The 26,862-nt window shown below is 41.2% G+C and overlaps 3 annotated features.

The window, feature by feature from the left end:
- Positions 11,746-12,448: an enhancer, noted in NCBI's record as "NANOG-H3K27ac hESC enhancer chr4:25482407-25483109 (GRCh37/hg19 assembly coordinates)". NCBI's record gives its function as "activates a minimal SCP1, AML or CMV promoter by ChIP-STARR-seq in naive H9 embryonic stem cells {active_cell/tissue: H9 hESC(naive)}" and the evidence as "EXISTENCE:reporter gene assay evidence [ECO:0000049][PMID:30033119]".
- Positions 12,449-13,150: an enhancer, noted in NCBI's record as "OCT4-NANOG-H3K27ac hESC enhancer chr4:25483110-25483811 (GRCh37/hg19 assembly coordinates)". NCBI's record gives its function as "activates a minimal SCP1, AML or CMV promoter by ChIP-STARR-seq in naive H9 embryonic stem cells {active_cell/tissue: H9 hESC(naive)}" and the evidence as "EXISTENCE:reporter gene assay evidence [ECO:0000049][PMID:30033119]".
- Positions 15,268-16,117: an enhancer, noted in NCBI's record as "NANOG-H3K27ac hESC enhancer chr4:25485929-25486778 (GRCh37/hg19 assembly coordinates)". NCBI's record gives its function as "activates a minimal SCP1, AML or CMV promoter by ChIP-STARR-seq in naive H9 embryonic stem cells {active_cell/tissue: H9 hESC(naive)}" and the evidence as "EXISTENCE:reporter gene assay evidence [ECO:0000049][PMID:30033119]".

The following is a 26,862-nucleotide window of genomic DNA, read 5'->3' on the forward strand; positions in this document are numbered from 1 at the left end:
AGAATACCCGCATCAGCTGGTAAACAACAGCGACAGGTGATTAACAGTAGGCGTTCAGTCTCCACCTACGATGCTGTGTTTTGATTAAAAGGTTACTGTGCACTGTATTTTATTTATTTATTTATTTATTTTTTAGGTAAGAAGAAATATCAGAAACAGTTGAGGGACCAGGAAGTGGGTCCTCCAGGGATGATGAAGATGGCTTTCCTTTTTTTTGTTTTTTTTTGTTTTTTGAGATGGAGTCTTGCTCTGTCACCCAGGGTGAAGTGGAATGGTGTGATTTCGGCTTACTGCAACCTCCACCTCCCGGGTTCAGGCAATTATCCTGCCTCGCCCTCCCGAGTAGCTGGGATTACAGGCACCCACCTCCATGCTAGGGTAATTTTTATATTTTTCGTAGAGATGGGGTTTCACCATATTGGCCAGGCTGGTCTCGAATTTCTAATCTCGTGATCTGCCCACCTCAGCCTCCCAAAGTGCTGGGATTACAGGCTTTTCTAAACGCTTCCTCCACTGTCATCTGCCCCATTAATGATGGTTTTTGTCTTAGAAATCTCTCTTTGATTTTATAGACTGACATAATTTATTGTTCTTTTGTGAATGAAGGCTGCTGGAGTCCTTCAATAAGTCCATCATACATTTTCACCATGTCATTTATAGGCACTTTTTCTTCAGTGCTAACAACGTCATCTTCATCATCACTATTATCACAGTCACCTTGACTTAGAATAATTTTGGGCCAGAGGTGGTGTCTCATGCCTGAAATCCCAGCACTTTGGGAGGCCAAGGTGGAAGGATCACTTGAGCCCAGGAGTTCAAGACCAGTCTGGGAAACATAACGAAATCCTATCTCTACAAAAATTAAAAAATTAGTCAAGTTGGCCTCAGGCAAGATTACTCCTGCCTCAGCCTCCTGAGTAGCTGGGACTACAGGTGCCTGCCACCATGCCTGGCTAATTTTTGTATTTTTTTGTAGAAGTGGGGTTTCGCCAAGTTGGCCAGGCTGGTCTCGAACTCCTGACCTCAGGTAATCTGCCCGCCTTGGCCTCTCAAAGTGCCGGGATTACAGGCATGAGCCACCATGCCTGGCCCAAAAATGTTTTTATGTTTAGTCTTCATTGCTCTGATACCCTGGTCACTCAACTGAATTTACAGAGTCACATTTGGGGGAAAGTACATGGCATAAACATTATTTTTGATGAGAATTTTAGCTGGAGGATAAGCAGAACAGTTGTTAAGGAATAAAAGAATCTTATAGTCGTCATCCAGCCCAGTTTCCCTGCAGTGAGCACAGGTCACTTGTACAAAATCATTGTGAAACCAATCGGAAAAGATGTCCCTGGTGATCCATGCTTTTTTGTTAGCATAGCAATGGACTGGTAAGAATTCACTCCTTAAACAGGGAGGATGCAAGATTTTGCCTATCCCAGAAAGTGTACCCTTATTTCTGCCTGCTACATTGGTACATCCCAGCACGGTTACGCTGTCCTTGGCATCCTTAATTCCTATAGGGGCCGTCTCATCAGCTGTACTCAGTGTCTTTCTGAGGCAATAACACCAAAACATTGATGTTTTGTCAGCATTATAGACTTGTTCTGGTTTCAGATTTTCATAAGTGATGACCTTGGCAATGAATTCCTCTGCTGCTTCATGACCAACACATGTTTTATCACCACAAATCTTTTTTTTTTTTTTTTGTGAGATGGAGTCTCGCTCTGTTGCCAGGCTGGAGTGCAGTGGCACGATCTCCAATCACTGCAACCTCCGCCTCCCGGGTTCAAGCAATTCTCCTGCCTCAGCCTCCCGAGTAGCTGGGACTACAGGTGAGTGCCACCACGCCCAGCTAATTTTTGTACTTTTAGTAGAGACGAGGTTTCACCATGTTGGTCAGAATGGTCTCGATCTCTTGACCTCGTGATCCACCCACCTCGGCCTCCCAAAGTGCTGGGATTACAGGCGTGAGTCACTGCGCCCAGCCTATCACTACAAATCTTTAAAACTTTATTGTTGTCTTTTCTTAAATTTCTGCAACCAGCCTGTTGAATATTCACAGTTCCCTTTGTGATAAATCTTTGCTTGCTTCATGATCTGCATACCATTGAGTGCCATGTGTTCACTGCAATGCTGATGGATCTACTCTTTCAATACGTGATCAAGATCTTCCCTTTTAGCTTGATGCAGGGTTTTTCTATATTTGTCATTAACTTCTGTTCATCTCTTTCAGCACAGAACGTGAATAGCTTATGCTTCTGTTTCTTCAGTTACACATGGTGGTCACTCCAACACCATAGTCTTCTGTAAGACATTTCACACTTCCACCCCGTCTAGTTTGTCCAATAGCCTGTCTTGCTATAGATAAACATAAATGCTTCCATTTTTTCTTATGACTGTTTAGTCTTATGACTAAAGGGATGTCTGCAGGCTTTTCTGACAGTTTCAACAATATCTTTATACCACAGAGCAGAAAATAAGCTAAACAAAATAAAATAAATGAAAACCACAATGAGTAATGCACATAAGTCTTGGTTATATGTAGGATATCATGGGGAACATGCTGTTGGCGCTTCTGGCCTGCACACGTGCCATTTTCTTACCCTTTGTGGGTGTGCTTGCATGGGGGGATCTGGGCATGCATGGAAAATATATATGCCAGATATAAAGTTGAAGGCAGCTGAGAAGGTCTTTTTTCCTTGGGGATGCTGAATAAACTGTGTGTTGGGTACTTGCATTTTGACTGCAACCTATCACAGGAGGTCAGGTGTGGAATTTTCCACTTGTGACATCATGTTGGCCTTTGAAAAGTTTTGGATTTTGAAGCATTTCAGATCTCAGGCTTTTGGATTAGGGATTGTACGAGAGTGGCACCCAGAGTGATGGAATGGCCCAGTGGTTTCATATGTTACAAAGTGCCACCAAAAATTTGTCTCCTGAAGGAAGGGCTCTAAAATGTGAAAGTTATTGCTTTTGTTTGTAACCACCTGTAAGTGAACTGGGATATGCAGGCTGGGAACAGAAGATCTCCTAGACTCAATTATATTCAGAGAAGCAATGCAGGAAGTATTATAGAAATACTTTGTGAAGCCATTTTTGCAGGAAGCAGTCTGTCTTTGTGGCAGCAGAGAAAGCTAGACCTTATAGATTATAAAGCCTGGAGAGCTATCCTGGCCTGTTCCCATTTCTCCCCAGTTGACTGGTCCAGGAAAATTCAACCTGATAAATTTCAAAGAGATAAAAGATTTCATTGTACAAGATAAAACCATAAAAACATAGCAGAAAATGTGAAATAATTTCTTTCTTTTTAAAAAGAAAATATGAAAAAAGGTATTTCTAGCTTTAAAAAGTTATTAACATCATTAAAAAAGACAATCAACTGGATGAAATTTTAGCATAGATAAAAGACTAATCTCTCAAGTGGATAAAAATCCTCTAGAAATTGATAAGAAAAAGAACAAATTCATTAGAATATATAAGTAAAATTACTGATCAGAAAGGATGTTTCCAAGGGGAAAAAACAGGAATCTTCATCTGAAGCAGTCAGGGATCCATGCTTTCTTCAAGAAGAAGGAAAGTGTTCCCCAAATCTTCCTCAGGTCAAGAGGAAACAGAAATAAACTTTATTCAATGACTCATAGATTCGACTTTGGGAGGCTGAGGCGGGTGGATCCCTTGAGGTCAGGAGTTTGAGACCAGCCTGGCCAACATGGTGAAACTTCATCTCTACTAAAAATACAAAAATTAGCTTGGTGTGGTGGTGCATGTCTGTAACCCCAGCTACTCAGGAGGCTGAGGCAGGAGAATCGCTTGAACCCGGGAGGTGGAGGTTGCAGTGAGACCAGATCGTGCCACTGCCCTCCAGCCAACAGAGCGAGACTCTGTCTCAAAGAAAAAAAAAACAAAAAAACAAAAAATCATAGATTTGGGAACATTTATTGATTGATTGATTGGTATGGAGTCTCTCTGTCGCCCAGGCTAGAGTGCAGTGGCATGATCTCAGCTCACTGCAACCTCTGCCTCCTGGGTTCAAGCGGTTCTCCTGCCTCAGCCTCCCCAGTAGCTGGGATTGCAGGTGTGAGCCACCACACCTGGCTAATTTTTGTATTTTTTTGGTAGAGACAGGGTTTTGCCATGTTGGCCAGGCTAGCCTCAAACTCCTGGCCTCAGGTGATCAGCCCGCTTTGGCCCCCCAAAGTGTTGGGATTACAGACATGAGCCACTCCTCCGGGCCTGGAACACATATTCTTTGAGAGACATGAAGAAGGAGAAGGAGAAGGGGAAGGGGAAGGGGACGGGGAAGGGGACGGGGACGGGGACGGGGAAGGGGAAGGGGAAGGGGAAGAAGAAGAAGGGGAAGGGGAAGGGGAAGAAGAAGAAGGGGAAGAAGGGGAAGAAGGGGAAGAAGAAAGGTTATTAGCATTACAGCTTCAGAAAGAGATGGATAAAGAGCAAATGAAGCCAAACTGGCAAAAAGAGTTCCCAGATGAATATCAGTTATGCACCTACATCCTCACCCCTAAATTGCTAAATGGAGAGAGGAAGAATTCCAAAGGTAGGAACCTCAAAAGACAAACTGATCCAGAGCATTCGAAACCTTGGAGAGGCTCAAGGGAAGAAAATTGGCAACCTTCTTTTAAGATCCAGTTGAAGCATTCAGTTAATGGAGGAAAGATGCCAAGTTCCACTAGAGATAATTGTAAGGAATCTAAAAGTGCTAGTTCCCTACAGCCTAGTAATTCACAGAAAAGTATTTTTCAGATGTTTCAGAGATACACAGCTTAATGCCTGGGTAAAGGGAGTGTTTTGTAAGCTTGTTAGGTAGATTGTGAGGATCTCTTTTCTGTCATAGAACTTCATACATTTGTCATTCATTCTGCTATGCAGGCATACTCATGGAGTTTTGCTCTTGTCACCCAGGCTGGAGTACAGTGGCGCGATCTCGGCTCACTGCAACCTCAGCCTCCCGGGTTCAAGCGGTTTTCGTGCCTCAGCCTCCCGAGTAGCTGGGACTACAGATGTGTGCCAACCATGCCCAGCTAATTTTTAATATTTTTAGTAGAGATGGGCTTTCACCATGCTGGCCAGGCTGGTCTTGAACTCCTGACCTCACGTGATCTGCCCACATCAGCCTCCCAAAATGCTGGGATTACAGGCATGAGCCATTGCTCATGGCCATATTCATTGTTCTTAAAGGCCTATGTGATTATAAGAGAAGATTTTATAAATGTGTTTCTGCAAAACTCAGTGATAAGCAGGGGTGTCCCTGTCTTTTCCATTGTTAATAACTGTGATATGTACTTTTCCAATCTTTTTGGATATACAAATGCCTTGACCAACTCCAAGAAATCTTCAAGTGACATTCTCTTTCCAAAAAAATGCATGTTTTGGGGGCCAGGTGCAGTGATTCATGCTTGTAATCCCAGCACTTTGGGAGGCCAAGGTCAGCCTGGTCAACATAGCGAGACCCTGTCTCTATAAAAACAAAGAAACATACATACAAACAAATGTATGTTGCATGGCCTTTGCCCACTTTTTTGTCATTACTGGTAATCAAAGTAAGATTATACTATTCCAAGTAATTAAGGAACCCATGCAGAGTCTAAAGTCTAAGTATTCTTGCTATTATTGTTGCAAATATTTACAGAACACTTGAAATATATTTTTCATAAAACTGAAGTAATTTGATTTCCATCTCCAATTTAATTACATTTTAAGCATCATAGCATTTCTTTTTATTTAAAATGGATTAGGATCAACGTTAAAGCAGAAAAGCAGAGTTTTCTAGGACATTGGGAATTAGTTGACAGAAAGGAAACTAGACTCTGTAAAAGGAGTTAAGAGCTAGGGAGAGGCAGGGTGGGGTGATGGACAGGTTGGTAGCATGGGAACTGAATGGGTAATCAGAAACTGGGTCCAGAATGAAGTAGCAGGTGAATTTCAGCACAGCATTCTCCTTGTCCTTTCTCTGCTAAGACACAGAAAACATTAGGGTTTTAGGTGGATGGACCACCTGAGGTCAGGAGTTCGCCAGCCTGGCCAACGTGGTGAAACCCCGTCTCTACTAAAAATACAAAAATTATCCAGGCATGGTGGTGGATGCCTGTAATCCTAGCTACTTGGGAGGTGGAGGCAGGAGAATCACTTGAACCTGGGAGGTGGAGGTTACAGTGAGCTGAGATCACACCATTGCACTCCAGCCTGGGCAACAAGAGCAAAACTGCATCTCAAAAAAAAAAAAGAAAGAAAGAAAAGAAAGAAAACAGTAGGGTTTTACAGTTTTTCACATCATAACAGCTGGTGTCAAAATCAAAATTAGTTACTAAATTACCTGAAATTTTGGAAATTCGTATTTCTAATAATCTGTTATTCCAGAAAAAATAGGAATTTACTATAGGAGAGTTATATCACATTGTCTTATGTTGTAGAACCTGAAACATAACCATATGTTTTTCTTGTGAATTTGTATTGTTGTTGACTTTTATTTGTGTTGATGAACAGAAATAGAACATATGATACTTGGGTTTTGCCCTGTCTGATTCCCAAAAGTTAAATCAGAACACAGTGATTGATTTCTTTTTGTGAAATGTAACTTAGAGACTATTGATCTGTTTTCCTTTTTTTTTTTTTTTTGAGACAGAGTGTCACTCTGTTGCCCATAGTACAGTGGTACAATCTTGGCTCACTGCAACCTCTGCCTTCTGGGTTCAAGCAATTATCCTGCCTCAGCCTCCTAGGTAGCTGGGATTATAGGCGCCCACCACCACATCTGGCTAATTTTTATGTTTTTAGTACAGATGGGGTTTCGCCCTGTTGGCCAGGCTGGTCTCGAACTTCTGACCTCAAGTGATCCCTACCCTCTCATCCTTCCAAACTGCTGGGATTACAGTCATGAGCCACTGCGTCCGGCCTATTGATCTGTTTTTCATTACTATGAACAACTGGTCAGGCTCAGTGGCTCATGCCTGTAATCCCAGCATTTTGGGAGGCCGAAGTGGGAGGATCACTTGAATCCAGGTGTTGGAGACTAGCCTGGGCAACAAAGCAAGACCCTACCTCTAATTTAAGAAAATAATAATAATAATATGAACAACTCTTACCAAACAATAGTTTTGGCAGCATTTCTGGTGCTGTCTAGTCATCCATCCTTTTACAAGTATAAAAATAAGATAAAATGTCCTAGAGCCAATCCTAGCTTAAATTTGTCAGTATTTTTATATGTTATTAAGCTTTTTCCTCCAAATTTTGTAACTGAAATTCTGTTCATCTTTGCATACTTGATGGCATCTATGTCAATATTGATTGACTATTTATGAGTAGAATTCTGAAACCTAATTTAAAATTTAGTTTGCCCTTTTTTTTTTAAAAAAAAGTATTGCCTTCTGAGTAAATGATGGTAGTAACATGAAGTATAGTTTAAAACTATAGTATCGCATTGGTTGTTAAGTATAAATAAATAAAATCTAACCAAATTCGTCTAAAACAGACTGAACTCTATCTTTTCATCAAACCAACATTTTTGTAAGAGCAATTTCACTTTGTGTTTTAGAGTAGACATTTTTGGAAATCCTTGAATAAAAAGCTCTTATTAAATCTCCCTGGAATAGCTCATAACCAAAGAGGAAGAAAAAAATAGCTTATGGTGTGATATATTTAGGATTTATATATTTAACTACTTATTTGTCTGTGAAGAAGTCTTCCTGACTAAAGATGGCTTTCAGATAAATTTTAATTTCTCTATGAGTCTTTTGCTATTCCTATAATTCATGCCTTTTTGTTAGAAACTAATATAGGTTTTGTGTGATTTTTTTTTTCAATGAGCAAAAATAAGTTAAATAAGTAAGTAAGTGAACAAATAAACAGGTAGTTTAAAGCAAAGGAAGGGCCCAGCGTGATGACTCACGCCTGTAATCCCAGCACTTTAGGAGACTGAGGCGGGCAGATCACCTGAGGTGAGGAGTTCAAGACCAGCCTAGCCAACATGGTGAAACCCCGTCTCTACTAAACATGCAAGAAATTAGCCGGGTGTGGTGGTGGGCGCCTGTAATCCCAGCTACTTGGGAGGCTGAAGCACAAGAATCGCTTGAACCTGGGAGGCGGATGTTGCAGTGAGCTGAGATCGTGCCATTGCACGCCAGCCTGGGGCAACAAGAATGAAACTCCATCTCAAAAGAATAAAAAAAGAAAAATAAAGCAAAGGAAGTATAAACGGTTCTTAAATTGATGGAAATATGCCCAACTTTACTCATAATAAGAAAAATAAACTAAAATGACATTGAGCTAACATTTTTATCTCTGAGATTGGCAGGATGTCACAAATTTGGTAACACACTCTGTTGGTGAAGCTGTGGGGAGACACATGCTCTAACACATTGCTTTTGGATGGCTAAACAGCATCCATCCTGTGGGGCCATGTGGGAATATGATGCTTTTGCTTGACTCACCACTTCTACCCCTGGGGAATTTATCTGCAGATACTTGTGTATGTGTACAAAAATGTGCACACAAAGTCATTCACTGTGGCACTGTTTAAGCTTCAAAATATTGGAAACAACAAAATTGTCAATTAGAATATTGCTAAATAAATGATGGTTTACTCATACAATTAAATGTTATGTGGCTGAAAAAAAGAATGAGGACACTATGTAATAATTTGGAAAAAATTCTAAAATATATTACTAAGTGAAAAAACAAAGTAGGGAAGAATGTTTCAGAAAAGGCTAACTTTTGGGTAAGAAAATGGGAGAAATAAGAATATATATTTGCCCAGCGTGGTGGCTCGTGCCTGCAATCCCAGCACTTTGGGAGGCCGAGGTGGGCGGATCACCTGAGTTCGGGAGTTCAAGACCAGCCTGGCCAACATGGTGACACCCTGTTTGTACTAAAAATACAAAAATTAGCTGGGCATGGTGTTGGGTGCTTGTAATCCCAGCTATTCAAGAGGCTGAGGCAGGAGAATTGCTTGAACCCTAGAGGTGGATATTGCAGTGCACCAAGATCATGTCACTGCACTCCAACCTGGGTGACAAGAGCAAGACACTGTCTCAAAAAAAAAAAAAAGAATATATATTTACATTTGATTGTGTATGTGTATACACACACACACACACACACACACACGCAAACAAATGGAAAAACATTCCATGCTTATGGATAGGAAGAATCAATATTGTTAAAATGGCTATACTGCCCAAGGCAATTTACAGATTCAATGCTATTTCTATCAAACTACCAATGACATATTTCTCAGAATTAGAAAAAACTATTCTAAATTTCATACGGAACCAAAAACGGAGCCTGAACAGCCAAAGTAATCCTATGCAGAAAGAACATAGCTGGAGGCATCACATTGCCCAACTTCAAACTCTACAACAAGGCTACAATAACCAAAACAGCATGGTAGTGGAACAAAAGCAGATACATAGACCAATGGAACAGAATAGAGAGCCCAGAAATAAAGCCACACACCTACAATCATCTGATCTTTGACAGCGTTGACAAATACAAGCAATGGGGAAAGGACTCACTATTCAATAAATGGTGCTGAGATAACTGGCTAGCCACATGCAGAAGATTGAAATTGGGCCCCTTCCTTACACGATATACAGAAAGCAACTCAAGATGGATTAAAGACTTAAATGTAAAATGTAAAACTATAACAACCTTTGAAGAAAACCTAGGAAATACCATTCTGGACATAGGCCCTGGCAAAGGTTTCATGATGAAGATGCCAAAAGCAATTGCAACCAAAACAAAAATTGACAAATGGGACCTAATTAAACTAAAGAGCTTTTGCACAGCAAAACAAACTATCAACAGGGTAAACAATCTACAGAATAAGAGAAAATGTTTGCAAGCTATGCACCTGACAAAGGTCTAGTATCCAGAATCTATAAGGAACTTAAACAAATTAACAAGCAAAAAAAAAAAAAAAAAACAACCCCATTAAAAAATGGGCAAAATATATGAACAGACACTCTTCAAAAGAAGACATACACACAGCCAACAAGCATATGAAAATATGCTCAACATCACTAATCCTGAGAGAAATTCAAATAAAAACTACAGTGAGATGCCATCTGACACCAGACAGAATGGCTATTATTATTATTATTTTTCTTTTGAGATGGAGTCTCGCTCTGTCGCCCAGACTGGAGTGCAGTGGTGTGATCTTGGCTCACTGCAACCTCCACCTGCTGGATTCAAGCAATTGTCCTGCCTTAGCCTCCCCAGTAGCTGGGATTCCAGCACCTGTCACCACGCCTGGCTCATTTTTGTATTTTTAGTAGAGACAGAGTTTCACCATGTTGGGCAGGCTGAGAATCGCTATTATTATGAAGTCAAAAAATAACAGATGCTGGCAAGGTTGCAGAGAAGAGGGAATGCTTAAACACTGCTAGTGGGAATGTAAATTAGTTCAGCCGCTATGGAAGGCAGTTTGGCAATTTCTCAAAGAACTTAGAACTACCATTCAAACCAGCAATTCCATTATTGGGTGTATACCCAAAGGAATACAGATCATTCTACCATAAAGACATATGCACATACATGTTCACCACAGTGCTATTCACAGTAGCAAAGCCATGAAATCAACCTAAATGCCCATCAACAGTGGACTGGATAAAGAAAATGTGGTACATATACACCATGGACTACTAAGCAGCCGTAAAAAAGAACAAGATCATGTCTTTTGCAGGAACATGAATGGAGCAGGAGGCCATTATCCTTAGCAGACTAGCCAACTAACACAAGAGCAGAAAACCAAATACCACATGTTCTCAATTATAAGTGGGAGCTAAACATTGAGTACACATGGACACAAAGAAGGGAACAACAGACGCTGGTGCCTACTTAAGGGTGGAGGGGGTGGGGGGGGGGTGGATCAAAAAACTACCTATTAGATACTATGCTTATTACCTGGGTGACAAAAAAATCTGTACAACATACCACCGTGGCACGCAATTACCTGTATAACAACCCTGTACATGTACCCTTGAAACTAAATAAGAAGTTAAAAAAAAAAGTTAAAAAATTTTAAATGATGTCATAGACCATATCTAGGCTAATGCTCCATAAAAATAAGCCAAAAAAAGAATATATATTCACATTTGACTGTGTGTGTATATATATTCATATGTTTAATTTTATATATATATATATATAAAATTCTAGAAAGATACCCAAGAAACTAATAATACTGGTTTCTTAGGGGTGTAGGGGGCATAGGGTGAGTGCCAGGTAGATGGGGGACAGTCAGACTTTTCACTGTCTACCTTTATGTATAATTTAACCATGTGCCTATATTACCTACAGTAGCAGTGCCATAACAAACTACCATAAACTCTGTCTTAAAATAACCCAATTTATTCCATCAGTGTTCTGGAGGTGAGGCACTGGCAGGGGCCTGTTCTCCCTGAAAACTTTAGGGAAGAATCCTTCCCTGACTATGACAGCTTTTGGTGGCTCCTGGCATTCCTTGGCTTGTAGATGTGTCATCCCAGTCTCTGGCTCCATCTCATCTTCCCCTCTGTTCTGTGTTCCTGTGTCCTTTCCTCTTATAAGCTCATCACTCATTGGATTTAGAGCCCACCCTAAATCCAAGATGATTTAGTCTGGAAGTCCTTAACTAACTACACTCGCAAAGACCCTATTTCCACATAAAGTCACATTCTGAGGTTCTGAGTGAATATGAATTTTGGGGGGATGCACTTCAACCCACAACACTATTCAAAAATAAACATTTAAAAAAACTTAGCTGTGATGAAACAAAATGAAGTTCACATTGTCAAACCAAAATATTCTTTTAATGTTAGTATTTCTAGCCTGAGCAAGCATTTAAGCTGAAATATAGTGGTAATCCATTCTATAGAGTGAGGGAGAAATTAACTGAAGCCCTCATGCCTCTCAACACCATTTACCTGTCTCAGAGGCAGAAGAAGGCAGACAATAAATGAAAATATATTCAGCACCCATTGAGTATAAAGAGACAGTTGAATGGGCTCAATTCTGTTAACAAGGGGACCAGTTAGCCAGATTTATGCTTAGTTTGTGTCATGTAAAATGGTGATGTTTCTCTGCACTGTTTCTAAGATTGTCTCAGAAGATCTTTGCTGTAAATGTAGGAAGCTCATATATCAGGACTGGGGACATAGCATTTTTAGAGGAATGAACTGAGAAAAAAAGTGGGTATTATCTTAACCTGCTTGGGCTACCATAACAAAATACTGCAGACTGGGTGGCTTAAACAGTAAAAATTCATTTCTTACAGTTCTAGGGAATGAGAAGTCCAAGATCAAAGTGCCTGCCAATTCAGTTCCTGGTGAAGGCTTTCTTTTTGGCTTATAGATGGCCACCTTCTTGCTGTGTCCTTACATGGCAAAGACAGACAGAGAAAGAGCAAGAGAGAGAGAGAGAGACAGACAGACAGATAGACAGACAGAGAGAGCACACTTTCTGATGTCTTTGCCTACAAAAACACTACTCCTGTAAGAAAGGGCTCTACCCATATGCCTTCATTTAACCTTAATTGCTCCTTATTCCAAATACAACTACACTGGGAGTTAGGGCTTCAACGTATTAATTTTGTAGGAGACACAATTCAGTCCATAGCAGGTATTTTAAATCAACCTGAGCATTTTCAACATTTGTAAAGAGGCATGATATACTACAGCACTTAAGCAGAGACTATGAATCAGGCAGAATTTAAGATCTTTTAGACACAACCATGGGGAACTCTAACCTAGGTTTATCAAACTGTGTCCTAGCTTGAGCGCTGGGAATGAATGACAATGTATTCATTCATATGAATAGGAAGTACTTCCTTTCAAAGTCTTTGGGATTCAAAAGAAAAAGCATTCCTTTAAGAAGAGTTCTTAGGACTTAAGGGGCTTCGAGTCAGACAGGCCTGGCTTCCCATCCCAACTCTAGGACTTAACAGCTGTGGAACTTTGGGCAAGTTTCCTCACCTCTTTGGGTCTCTGTTTCCTCAGCTGTAAGATGGGAATATAACAGCCCTCTTTGGGTTGTTATGGAATTAAATGAGGCAAGATCTGTAAAAAACTTAGCACAAGGAACACAGTGAGTGCTCTTTCAAGTTGCCTCTTATTATTATTATTACCAATCATGAGAAACATGCATGGAGAAAATTTTGCCAAATGCCCAAAAAAAATCCGGAAAGGATTATTCAACCTGTGGATGTGGAAAGGAAAAGTGGTGGTAGCCGGAAGGCAGGGCTGCTCGATTTGGAAACAGTAACAAGCTTGCTTTGGCTGAGTATGGAGTACACTAATTCACCACTTAACATTCAGAGTTTATATTCTAGAAGCACAGAATTGAGAGGAATGTATACCCAGTTAAAAATTTAATGCAAGCCTGGGCGCGGTGGCTCATGCCTGTAATCCCAGCACTTTGGGAGGCTGAAGCGGGCTGATCACCTGAGGTCAGGAGTTCGAGACAGCCTGACTAACATGGAGAAACCCCATCTCTACTAAAAATACCAAATTAGCCAGGTGTGGTGGCACATGCCTGTAATCCTGGCTACTCAGGAGGCTGAGGCAGGAGAATCTCTTGAACCCAGGAGGTGGAGGTTGCGGTGAGTCAGGATCATGCCATTACACTCCAGCCTGGGCAACAAGAGTGAAACTCCGTCTCAAAAAAAAAAAAAAAAAAAATTGCACCACTCTGGTGGGGAATGTTGATAATGGGGGAGGTTATACATGTGGGCTGTGGGGAGTAATTGGGAAATCTCTGTACTTTCTGCTCAATTTTGCTGTGAAATGAAAACTGCTCTAAAAAAAATTAAGTCTTGGCCAGGTGCAGTGATTCACACCTGTAATCCCAGCACTTTGGGAGGGCAATGTAGAAACACTTGAACTCAAGAGTTCGAGACCAGGCTGGGTGCGGTGGCTCATGCCTGTAATCCCAGCACTTTGGGAGGCCAAGGTGGGCGGATCACGAGGTCAGGAGATTGAGACTGTCCTGGCTAACATGGTGAAACCCTTTCTCTACTAAAAATACAAAAAATTAGCCAGGCGTGGTTGCAGGCACCCGTAGTCCCAGCTACTCGGGAGGCTGAGGCAGGAGAATGGCCTGAACCCGGGAGGCGGAGCTTGCAGTGAGCCGAGATCGCGCCACTGCACTCCAGCCTGGGCGACAGAGCGAGACTCCGTCTCAAAAAAAAAAAAAAGAAGAAAAAGAGTTCGAGACCAGCCTGGGCAACATAGCAACACCCCATATCTACAAAAATTTTAATGAATTAGCTGGGTATGGTGGCACACACATGTAGTCCCAGCTACTTCGGAGGCTGAGGCAGGAGGTTGGCTTCTGCCTAGGAATTCGAGGCTATAGTGAGCTATGATCGTGCCACTGCATTCCAGCCTGGGCCACAGAGCAAGACCTTGTCTCTAAAAAGTAAAATAAAATAAAATAAAATCTATTTTAAAAATGGAAAAGAATCAGTGAATACTTTTCACTGTAATGAAGAAACACACCCTTACCCGGGAATCTACACTCTGGTGCTTGCACCTGGTTCCCCTGACACTCACCCAATCCGCCCCCACTCCAACACCACCCTGGGTTCAAAAGGAAATGCATATTAGCTCTAGGGCTCAGAGTATCCAGTTTAACTCTGTACACTTGCAGGAAGTCTTTTTACTGTGAGGGCCCTTTAGTCGCACTTTTGCACATTTTCTTCTAATAAAAATGTGACAGATTTCTCACTTAATGGACTAACTAAGGAATGCTTTGGAAAAAAACAAGGAAAGTGAGAAACAGCTATAACATCCATTTTTTTTTTAGCTTCCTTATAGAATCAGAGAGAATAACCTGTAAGATGTATTTCTTCACTAGGAGGGCAAATAATACCAAATTTTGATTCCCAATGGTTTTTTTTTTGAGACTGAGTCTCACTCTGTCACCCAGGCTGGAGTGCAATGCCGTGATCTCAGCTCACTGCAACCTCTGCCTCCCGGGTTCAAGAGATTCTCGTGCCTCAGTCTCTGAGTAGCTGGGATTATAGGCACCTGCCACCACACCCAGCTAATTTTTGTATTTTTAAAAATTTTGTATTTCAAAGATAAAAAACAGAACTTACTTCATTAGACTGTTAGGGAGAGTAGTTGAAGTAATAAACCTGCAGCTCTCAGAACCATGCCTGGCACACAGTAAGCACCCAATGAATAGATATTCTCAGAATTAGAAGGTGAATCACAAGGGTTTGTCTTTTCAGCGGCTCCTCATAGTGGCTTTTCTCATGTGCTTTATTTATTTGACTTGCTATTACTGCATGTATCATTTACAACTAAACACCAGACAGGGGCTTACGTACAGTAATACCAGGGAAGGTAAATTAGTATTCCAATGCACGAAAGCTCCTTTATACTCATATAATGAAAGACAGCTATTCACTGACTTAAGATCTCTGGCATTAATTACAGGTTTCAGTACATAAAAGTGTTACCCAAATCTGAGTTCCTGCTTTGAAATGCAAGATCTGTGAAACTGAGCCAAGCCAATGGAAATGCAAATGCCTCAAACATTTTCATTTACCTGTGACACATGGCTTTCATCAAGATGGATTACCTCACTTGTAAGAACACATTAACAATTGGTTTTGTTTGTGGTCAGATAAACCAGTCATGATTAATGAATCTGGCCACAGCTCTTCCTGTCTGTGGATGCCCCAAATGAGAGCTCTGATCTTTCCTAATCTTAAAAGAAAAGGATTGTAAAAGAAATCGAGATGTATATGCGTATTAAAATATTGCCATTTATTGGACACCAGGAAAGTGGCTGAGCCTCTGACACCTGCCATCTTTGTTCATTGCTTTAATGTCAGTGTAACTCGCAGATCTTTTCATATCCACTAAATATTGATATAAAAAGTCATTAAAATAAAGTTAATTATTTTTTATTTTCAAAAACAGATAATCCAGATATGGGCATTCAAATATATGATCCATTTGGAAGAGCCACTTTGATATCCTAAGAGCCTTAGGAGTAGGATGCTTCTGTTAAAGCAGACTAAAGATGGCCTGAGAAGGACACCGAACTTCTATATTTGAGTCCCTGTGGAGGAACCACAACCTAACTTAATAGGTAGACAAGATTGAAAACTTAACTTAGGAGTATGTGCCTGGAACAATAGCTGAGTCTTGGCCAATCCCAGCAGCCGTATTTCAACCACTCATACACTGCTGAGTGTTCAAACTGTGTTCAAATAAGGCAAACACCGAGATGTAACCAATCAGTTGTTCCTCTACCTTACTTCCGATTGCTGTACCTCACTTCCCTTTTTGTCTATAAATCTTCTTCCACCACATGGCTCTGCTGGAGGAGTTTCTATGAATCTGCTGTGATTCTGAGGGCTGCCTGATTCGTGAATCTTTCATTGCTCAATTAGACCCCTTTAAATTTAATTCTCCTGAAGTTTTTCTTTTAACACTCTTAACACCGTACAACGTCTTTTGGGAATTGCCTTCCTGGTTCTTGGCACATTCTTTCAGATATCTTTATTGGTGAAAAAAATATTTTCCTTTGATGAGAGTATGAATTTTTTTTTTTTTTTTGAGACAGAATCTCTTTCTTGTTGCCCAGGCTGGAATGCAGTGGTGCGATCTCAGCTCACTGCAACCTCTGCCTCCCGGGTTCAAGCGATTCTCCTGCCTCAGCCTCCTGAGTAGCTGGAATTACAGTTGCACACCACCACGCCTGGCTAATTTTTGTATTTTTAGTAGAGATGAGGTTTCACCATGTTGGTCTCAAACACCTGACCTCAGGTGATCTGCCTGCCTCGGCCTCCCAAAGTGCTGGGATTTCAGCCATGAGCCACCGTGCCTGTCCTGGAGGATGAATTTTTGAAAATATTTGGAAGTCATTCAGATTTCCTTGAGGTAATGCCATTTTTATTCAAAAACAAGGTGCCACTAACGTAAGTGATATTTCTTGCCTGGATCATAAACTGGCTTGGAAGACAACCCTAAAGAAGGAATTCTAAAGCAGACTTCTCAAGGGTGAGCATTCGTCTTTTCCTGAAACAACAGAGTCATCTATGTAGGTAAACAAATTGTTACGGTTTTCCAGGACTTTTTCTGTTTTTCTGCCAAAAGTCCTGTGTCCCGGGACCTCTTCAGTCCTGAATGAACTAGGAGAGTTAGTCCTCTCCTGTTATGAGGCAGTCATATGCCTCCAGTTCACAAGACTTTGATCCTGCTCCTGTAACACAATAATCCAAGAGTTTCTCATCCTAGCTTACTTGCCATGGGTTATAGGCTCCAGGCAATTCTACTGAAGGACAACTCTGGTTTGAGTGTACGCATTACAATAGGTTGCTTTCCTTGTTTCTTGGTTTCTTTTTAAGTCCGGTCTAGATGAGTCATTCTAGTACCTTTGAACTTTTCATTGTTATTTGGAGCAATGTTTGCAATTCTTTTGGGGTTTGCAGTCCCTACCTCCTTACAATGTTTTTGCTTAAACTGAACCAGCATGTGAGATCCAACAAGTGGATTAGAATTTCTAGTCTGAGCTCTGCCGTGTATTCAGACACGAATCCCTTAGCCTGTCTTGGCTCTCAGATTCCTCATCTGACAAATAGAAAAAATAAGTACCTTCATTATTACATGTGGTTAATATGAAGATGAAAAGAGATAATGCACATGAGCTGCAAAGTTATTAATTTTAACAATTAATTAATGTAGTCATAATTTATTGAATAACTGCTACGTCTAATACCTTTCAGAAAGCCATAATCCTGGAGAGAAAATACGCACACATGCAGAAATATAGCTGACCACTGGATGATGTCTTTAGTGCAGTCATAATTACCTGAAAAAGGTTCTAACTGCCACTGCAAAACTACAACTGAGACACTGAAAGAGATCTGAGCTAACCAACTCCATCTTGTTTCCAACTTCCAAGCCATTGTTGTTCATTCCTGGGTGCAGGCTGAACTACCTCTGGAGGAACTTAGTTTATACCTTATAGTTTAGAACAAAGACGGTAACAAAACAAACCACTTTCTTGCCTGGGGGCTAGACTGCCTTTGTAGGACTAACAAATTAGCCAAAAGATTAGAAATTATGGTTTAGGAGTCATGCAGCTGGAGGCTACAAGACTCTGACCCTCCCCATATTGCTCCTGGGGATAACATCACTTTCTAAAACCTAAGATCAGTGCTTGAGATATTTTGCAGACACTGCACTCGATGGATCAGCTGGCACCATGCGGATCGATAAACTGGCTCATCTGATCTTGTGGCTCCCACTCAGGAACTGACTGACTCAGTGCAAGAGGACAGCTTCAGCTCCCTATGAGTTCATTTCCGACCCAACCAATCAGCACTCCTGACTCACTGGCTGCCCCCACTTTGACCAAATTACTCTTAAAAACTCTGATCTGTGAATGCTCGAATGCTGAGGGAGACTGATTTGAGTAATAATAAAACTCCAGTCTCCCGCACAGCTGGCTGTGTGTGAATTGCTCTTTCTCTATTGCAATTCCCCTGTCTTGTTAAATTGGCTCTGTCTAGGCAGCAAGCAAGGTAAACCTGTTGGACGGTTACAGGACCTCCAAGAAAAGGCCGATTAATTTTGCTTGTGTCACTCTGGAAGGCTTCCCAGAAGAGATGATGTTTGAATTGGATCCTGAAGGGTGACAGAGGAAATGGCATGAACAGAGACATGGAGATGGGAAGACTGGGAGCATGTTTAGGGGAGGGCAAATATGCCAGTATTACAGTGCTTTCTGAGTGAGCAGGATAGGACCAGATCTCAAAGGACCTTAAGTGCCAAGCTAAAAATGTGAACTTTATTGGCCAGGCACGGTGACTTACGCCTGTAATCCAAGCACTTTGGGAGGCTGAGGCGGGCAGATCACGAGGTCAGGAGATCGAGACCATCCTGGCTAACACGGTGAAACCCCGTCTCTGCTAAAAATACAAAAAATTAGACGGGCGTGGTGGCAGGTTCCTATAGTCCCAGCTACTCGGTAGGCTGAGGCAGGAGAATGGTGTGAACCCAGGAGGCGGAGCTTACAGTTAGCAGAGATCATGCCACTGCACTCCAGCCTGGGTGACAGAGCAAGACTCCGTCTCAAAAAAAAGAAAAAAAAAGAAAAGTGAACTTTGTCAGGGGTTTGACCTAATCAGATCCCTCTGGCTGCAGTGTGGAGGACAGAATAGACTTTAAGAAGCAGGACAAGCAGGACGTGGGGAGAACAGTTATTGAAGTTTATTGTGCACATTCAGAGAATACCAGGGTAGTATAAAGGAGGATGACGGCAAGTGGGAGAGGAGACAAAAAGAGAGATGAAAACCTCCTCATCATCAATAACGCCACCTTATTGAAGAGGCCTGGCTTGACCACTCTATAGAAAATAGAATAGAAAATAGTGTAGAAATATCACACATCCTCATCACTTCCCTTCCTCCACTTGCTATATTTTTCTCCTTAGCATTATCACCATCAGTATGCAGATGCAGGTACCACAAAGGCTGCACTTGGGAAGCAAATACATGTCTGAGCTTCCTATAAGCCAAGGCAAAGAGAGAAACATGGCCAGTTATGACACCCACAGTCTTCATTAGGCAAGGACATGACATTTTGCCAAATGAAGTCCTATTTCTTCATAGGATATATTTACTTTTCAGATGCTTATTATCTATTCTCTCACTAGCATGAACATTCCATACAGGAAAGGCTTTTGTTTTATTATTTGCTATGTCCTTGGTGCCAGAACAGTGCCTGGTGTATAGTAAGTGCTCAATAAATATTTGCTGATTTTATAAATAAATAAATAAAGTTTGAGTTTCTTCCCACTCTGTAAATCAATAGGTCAATATGGTTGATCAGCTCCTGTTTTCATTTATGGATAAAATTTACTTCATTCTAAAAAGCATTTGAGATGGCTCCAAAAATATATAATATTAAAAGAACAAAACAAAATGAAGTCTAAATGACAAAGAGAATTGCCTAAGATGATGAAGCACAGAAAATCAGTATGCAGATGCAGGTACCACAAGGGCTGTACTAAGATTTTCAAAATGGGAAGCAAATACGTGTCTGAGCTTCCTATACACCAAGGCAAAGAGAGAAACATGGCCAGTTATGGCACCCACAGTCTTCATTAGACAAAGGTGTGACATTTTCTCAAAGGAAGTCCTATTTCTTTTTGGTGGATAAAGATGATGTTGAAACCATCTGCTTTATGTCCATGTTGTTTGGTGGGGTGACAGTTAACCCCTTAGCTCTTTTGGAGGGAGCGCAACCTGTGTTCAGCCTTACTTATCCACTGCAAGAGGTGACCAGAAATTTATCCAAACCAGAAACAGCTAGAGAGCATGAAAAGCTGCAGACAGATTAAGTGACACTCACCCAAGGGTAGGATTGAGTGGGGAGAGAATGTAAACACTCCATTCCTGACCTCCTGTCCCCTGCAGAAGCTTTATCAATCTCTAAGAGAATTACCTCTGCTTATAAAAAGGAAAGTTACATAGAAATCTGGCAAAGTTACATTGAAATCTGGATCCACTGTTGGTCTCTCTTCCTTTGATTTATTAAAGTTTCTTTGAAGTACACTTAAGTAAGAGGTTGAGTTTGGCTGATGATTTATTTTTAAGAGAGTGAAACAAGGTGAGAAAGAGAGAGGAAGCTGCTTTTCCAAATGATTAAAAGGTGAGTGTGACTCTAGTAAAGGATTTTCTTCCTTAAAAGATATTTTAAGGGATTTTTTAAAAGGTAATACATCCACATGATAAAAAAAATCCAATAAGGCCAAAAAACGTATCATATTTTTTGCATTTTTGCAAAGATATTTATATTTAGGCATATACATAAATGCTTTGGTTAAATAAATGAGAATTTATGATATAAACTCTTCTCTTGCTTTTTTTCACTTAATAAATGTTGGAGACTATTTCTGTTGTCTTTTCCCCCATCTTGGTTTTTGGTCATTTGGACTTGTCTTTTAGCATTTCTGGTGACTTTTAAATTAATGGCATGTATAAAAAACAATGTTGGAAGACACAAAGGAGGGAACAATAGACACTAGGGTGTACTTGAGGGGGATGGGTGAGAAGAAGGTGTGGATCAAAAAACTACCTATTGGGGCCGGGTGCAGTGGCTCACATCTATAATCCTAGCATTTTGGGAGGCTGAGGCAGGCAGGTCACCTGAAGTCAGGAGTTTGAGACCAGCCTGGCCAACATGGTGAAACCCCGTCTCTAATAATATAAAAATTAGCTGTGCATAGTGCAGCGTGCCTGTAATCCCAGCTACCTGGGAGGCTAAGGCAAGAGAATAGCTGGAACCTGGGAGGCGGAGGCTGCAGTGAGCCAAGATCCTACCACTGCACTCCAGCCTGGATGACAGAGCGAGACTCCATCTCAAAAAAAAACCAAAAAGCAAAAACAAAAACAAAAATAACTGCCTATTGGGAGGCCGGGCCCAGTGGCTCAAGCCTATAATCCCAGCACTTTGAGAGGTCAAGGCAGGTGGATCACCTGAGGTCAGGAGTTCGAGACCAGCCTGGCCAACATGGTGAAATCCTGTCTGTACTAAAAATACAAAAAAAATTTAGCCTGGTGTGGTGGCACACACCTGCAATCCCAGCTATTTGGGCCACTGAGGCACGAAAATTGCTTGAACCTAGGGGGTGGAGGTTGCAGTGAGCCGAGATTGCACCACTGCACTCCAGCCTGGGTGATGGAGTGAGATTCTGTCTCAAAAAAATTAGGAAAAATAAAAAAAACTACCTGTTGGGTACTACCTAGGTGACAAAATAATCTGTACATCAAATCCCCATGGCACACAATTTATCCATGTAATAAACCTGCACATGTACCTCCTGAACCTAAAATAAAAGTTGGAAAGAAAAACAAAAAATTAAATAAATAAATTAAAAAAACTCCAATATTGGAAATAATGACAGGAACAACAGACACTGGGGACTACTAGATGGGGTGTGAGGTAGGGAGGTGCCAAAAAATTGGGTACTATGCTCACTACCCGGGTGGCGGTTTCAATCATACCCCAAACCTTAGCATCACGCAATATACCTTTCTAACAAAACCTGCGCATGTACCCCCTGATTCTAAAATAAAAGTAAAAAATAAAATAAAAGATAATGCTACACTTATAAGTAGTAGAAAAAAGAAACAAATAACAACAAAAACAAAAACAAAAAAAAATTTTGAGGCTCTAAATGATGTTGTGTTCCTCCAGAGAGAGTTATCATTTCCTTAGCTAGTCAGGCAGAGTGGGGATTGATTATCCTAAGACAGAGACTGAGCTAACTGTAGACTGTGTTGCAGTTTGCAGAAAGCCCTCTCTACCTCCTCCCCTTCTAGGGTAGATTCCTCCAGGAGTCCTGACCGAGAATCTTGGGTCTTAAGCATGGCGCCTGTTTTAGTAGATCTTGAACTGTAAGACTTGTGTCATTACCACTGTGAGATTGCTCAAACTCTGTGTTTACTTTTTGGGGCTTCCTGTTTAGCTTCTATTCTTTTCTTGTCGAACTCCAATTTAATATGTTTTAAACTTCATCAGCCCACCCGACAAGCCTTTTAATCTTCCGTATTTTCCATCTTGATCTCTCTGTTCTATCCTCAGATTTATCTTCTAACTCACTAATTTTCTCTTTACTTGTTTTGGTGCTATGGTTGACACCTTGGTTTTTTTCGTGTACATTTTGTGACTTTTTGATATTTGATGGAACTTTGTCTGTTGAAACTTTTTGAAGCCTAGGTCCCTCCTGAGAGAGTTTATCTTTAGTTTGCGAGGCGACTTTTTCTCTTTAAACTACAGAAATAGCGTGAATTGTTCTGCACAGCATGAATAAAGACTGGCTTGTGGTTATTTATTCTCAGAGGGGACTTTCTCTCCTGACAAGTCAAGCTGTGACAGGTAAGCATATGACCTCTCTTGCCTTTTTGAGAAGATAGTTTTTATAGATCATCCTTTTACTGAGAACATAGATGTTAGGGATCTCAGCTTTGTGCAGTGGTCTCCAATCTGACCCCTTCACCTTGCCAAGCCCTTACACTTTGCCTCCTCTCTCTCATGACGCCAGCTAAAACTCTTGCTGTAGATCACAGAAGAGCAGGAGATGCCTCTAGTTCCAGCTCTTGATGACTTATTTGGATTCTGGCTCCTGTTTTACATTTGGCTTTTCTGTATCCTTTTTATTTTCTTTTCTCCTCAGTCATGCATTAAAAATATTTTTTTAAGCCAGGCGAGGTGGCTCACACCTGTAACCCCAGAACTTTGGGAGGCTGAGGCAGGAGGATCACTTGAGGTCAGATCAGGAGTTCGAGCCCAGTCTAGCCACTATGGTGACACCCCATCTCTACTAAAAATACAAAAATTAGCTGGGCATGGTGGCGCATGTCTGTAGTCCCAGCTACTCAGAAGGGTGAGGATCGCTTGAACCCAGGAGGTGGAGGTTGCAGTGAACCGAGCTGGAGATTGTGCCACTGCACTACAGCCTGGGTGACAGAGCGAGACCCTGTCTCAAAAAAAAAAAAAAAAAAAAAAGTTATCTAGTCTGCAGCAACACAGTCAATTCATTCATCTCTAAATGTCATTTATTCATATCTGTTAAATGCCAAGTAATCTGTTCAGTACTGGTGGCAAACAGATGGCTGGAATGTATAGTAATTCCGGCCTCTTCTCAACTTATTTATGAGGCCAGTAATTACCTGATATCCAAACCAGACAAAGATATCAGAAGAAAAGAAAACCACAGATCAACACTTCTTATCTATATAGACACAAAAATTCTCAACAAAAGACTAGCAAACAGACTCCAGCAACATAGAAAAAGGATTATTAAGCTGGGCACAGTGGCTCACGCCTGTAAACCCAGCATTTTGGGAGGCCAAGGTGGGTGGATCATTTGAGGTCAGGAGTTCGAGACCGGCCTGGCCAACATGGTGAAACCCTGTCTCTGATAAAAATACAAAAAAATTAGTTGGGCGTCGTGGCACACATCTGTAATCCCAGCTACTGGGGGAGGCTGAGGCAGGAGAATTGCTTGAACCTGGGAGACGGAAGTGCAGTGAGCCAAGATCATGCCACTGCACTCCAGCCTGGGCAATGGGGCAAGACTCCATCTCAAAAAAAAAGAAAGAAAAGAAAGAAAAAGGATTATACACCATGACTAAATGAGATTTATCTCAGACATGCAAGGTTGGTTTGACATATAAAAAGCAATCAAGATAATATACTAGACTAATAGAATAAAGGAAAAAAAATTACATGATCATCTCAATAGATGCAGACAAAACTTCTGACACAATCCAACATCTTTCATGATAAAAACACTCAATAAACCAGGAATAGAAGGGAACTTTCTCAACCTGATAAAGGACATCTATGAAAGACCAATGGCAAACATCATACATAATGGTGAAAGACTGGAGGCTTTCCTCCTAAGATAGGAACAAAATAAACATGTCCACCTTTGCCACTTTTATTCAACATTGTACTGCAATTAGGCTACAAAAAGAAATAAAAGAAATGTAGCCTGGAGAGGAAGAAATAAAACTATCTCTACTTGCAGATGACATGCTTTTTTTTTTTTACATATACTGGTAGATCAGTAGTTGCCTAGGAACAGGAGTGGAGGAAGTGGAGGAGAAACGAGAGTGTCTGTTGACAGCTATGGATTTCCTTTGGGGATGATGCAGCTGTTCTAAAGTGGATTTTTTCATAACTCTGTGAATATTCTAAAAATCATTAAACTATACACTTCAAATGGATGAACTGCATGGTATGTGAATTATATTTTAGTAAAACTTTGTTCTATAAAAAAGATGAAATGGGTGATTTTTCAGGGAAAAAAAAAATGTGTTTTGAGACAGAGTCTCACTCTATCACCCAGGCTGGAGTGCGGTGGTGCAATCTCGGCTCACTGCAACCTCCACCTCCCAGGTCCAAGTGATTCTCGTGCCTCAGCCTCCTGAGTAGCTGGGACCACAGGAGTGTGCCACCATGCCTGGCTAATGTTTGTATTTTTAGTAGAGATGGGGTTTTGCCATGTTGGCCAGGCTGGTCTCGAACTGCTGACCTCAAGTGATCCACCCACCTCGGCCTCCCAAAGTGCTGGGTTTACAGGTGAGAGGCTCTGTGCCCGGCCAAGGAAAATTTTTAAATTAACTCAGGAAGAAATAAAAAACCTGAATAGTCGAATAACCCTAAAATAAATCTAAAGGGTATTTTAAAATATTTTCTCCTGCTTGCTCCATCTAGCTTGAGACAAAGATAGCAGACCAGACTATTTTTGAGTCAAACTATATAAAACCTCTAAGCTTTTCCATACACTTTATAAATTGTATTTAGAGCATAGAGAAAGATGGGAAACTTCCCAGCTCATTTGACTTGGCTAGCATTACTTGCCAATGTAATAAAACAGGATGATGAGCACACAAAAGCAAAAGAAGAGGGGAAAAAAATGATAGGCCAATATATTTATGAGCAGAGATGCAAATAGCCTAAATAAGACATTAACAGGCTGGGTGCCATGGCTCACGCCTGTAATCCCAGTACTTTGGGAGGCCAAGGCAGGCAGATTGCTTAAGCCCAGGAGTTTGAGACCAGCCTGGGCAATATGGCAAAACCCAAACTCTACTAAAAAAAAAAAAATACAAAAATACAAAAATTAACTGGGCATGGTGGCATGCACCTGTAATCCTAGCAAGTTGGGAGGCTGAGGCACAAGAATTGCTTGACCCCAGGAGGTGGAGGTTGCAGTGAGCTGAGATCACACCACTGCACTACAGCCTGGGCAACAGAGTAAGACTGTCTGGAAAAAAAAGAAAGAAAGGAAAGAAAGGAAAGAAAGGAAGAAAGGAAGAAAAGAAAGAAAGAAAGAAAGAAAGAAAGAAAGAAAGAAAGAAAGAAAGAAAAAGAAAGAAGAAAGGAAGAAAGGGGGAGGGAGGGAGGAAGGAAGAGGGAGAGAGAGAGAGAGAGGAAGGAAGGAAAGAAGGAAGGAAGGGAGGAAGAAGTGAATCTATTGCCATCTTTTCCAGCAATAGATTTATGGAGAAAAAAAATATGATCATCTGAATAAATGTTGACAAGGTATTTAATTAAATTTAATACCAACACCTGATTAAAAATCTTAGCAATCCAGAAAAGTATGAATCTACATTAACTTGGCGAGGCACAGTGGCTCATGCCTATAATCCCAGCACTTTGGGAGACTGAGACAGGAGGATCACTTGAGCCCAGGAGTTTGAGACCAGCCTGGACAACATAGCCAGACACCATCTCTTCCTGAAAGTTAAAAACTTAGGCATGGTGACATGTGCCTGTAGTCCCAGCTACTTGGGAAGCTGATGCAGGAAGATCATTTGAGTACAGGAGTTCAAGGTTGCAACGAGCTATGATTACATCACTGCACTCCAGCCTGGGTGACAGAGCAAGAACCTGTCTCTAATTAAAAAAAAAATAGTAATAACAAAAAACAAAACTTCTGTATGACAAATAAGCATACAAACAAAATATAAAGACAAGTGACAGGCTGGGCGCGGTGGCTCACGCCTGTAATCCCAGCACTTTGGGAGGCCGAGGCGGGCGGATCACGAGGTCAGGAGATCGAGACGATCCCGGCTAAAACGGTGAAACCCCGTCTCTACTAAAAATACAAAAAATTAGCCGGGCGTAGTGGCGGGCGCCTGTAGTCCCAGCTACTTGGGAGGCTGAGGCAGGAGAATGGCGTGAACCCGGGAGGCGGAGCTTGCAGTGAGCCGAGATCCCGCCACTGCACTCCAGCCTGGGCGACAGAGTGAGACTCCGTCTCAAAAAAAAAAAAAAAAAAAAAGACAAGTGACAGATGAGAAGAAAATATTTGTAACATATTGTGGACCCTGGAAAATAA

The sequence above is a fragment of the Homo sapiens genome, chromosome 4 (assembly GCF_000001405.40).
Source record: "Homo sapiens chromosome 4, GRCh38.p14 Primary Assembly".
In the NCBI taxonomy this organism is placed as follows: domain Eukaryota; kingdom Metazoa; phylum Chordata; class Mammalia; order Primates; family Hominidae; genus Homo; species Homo sapiens.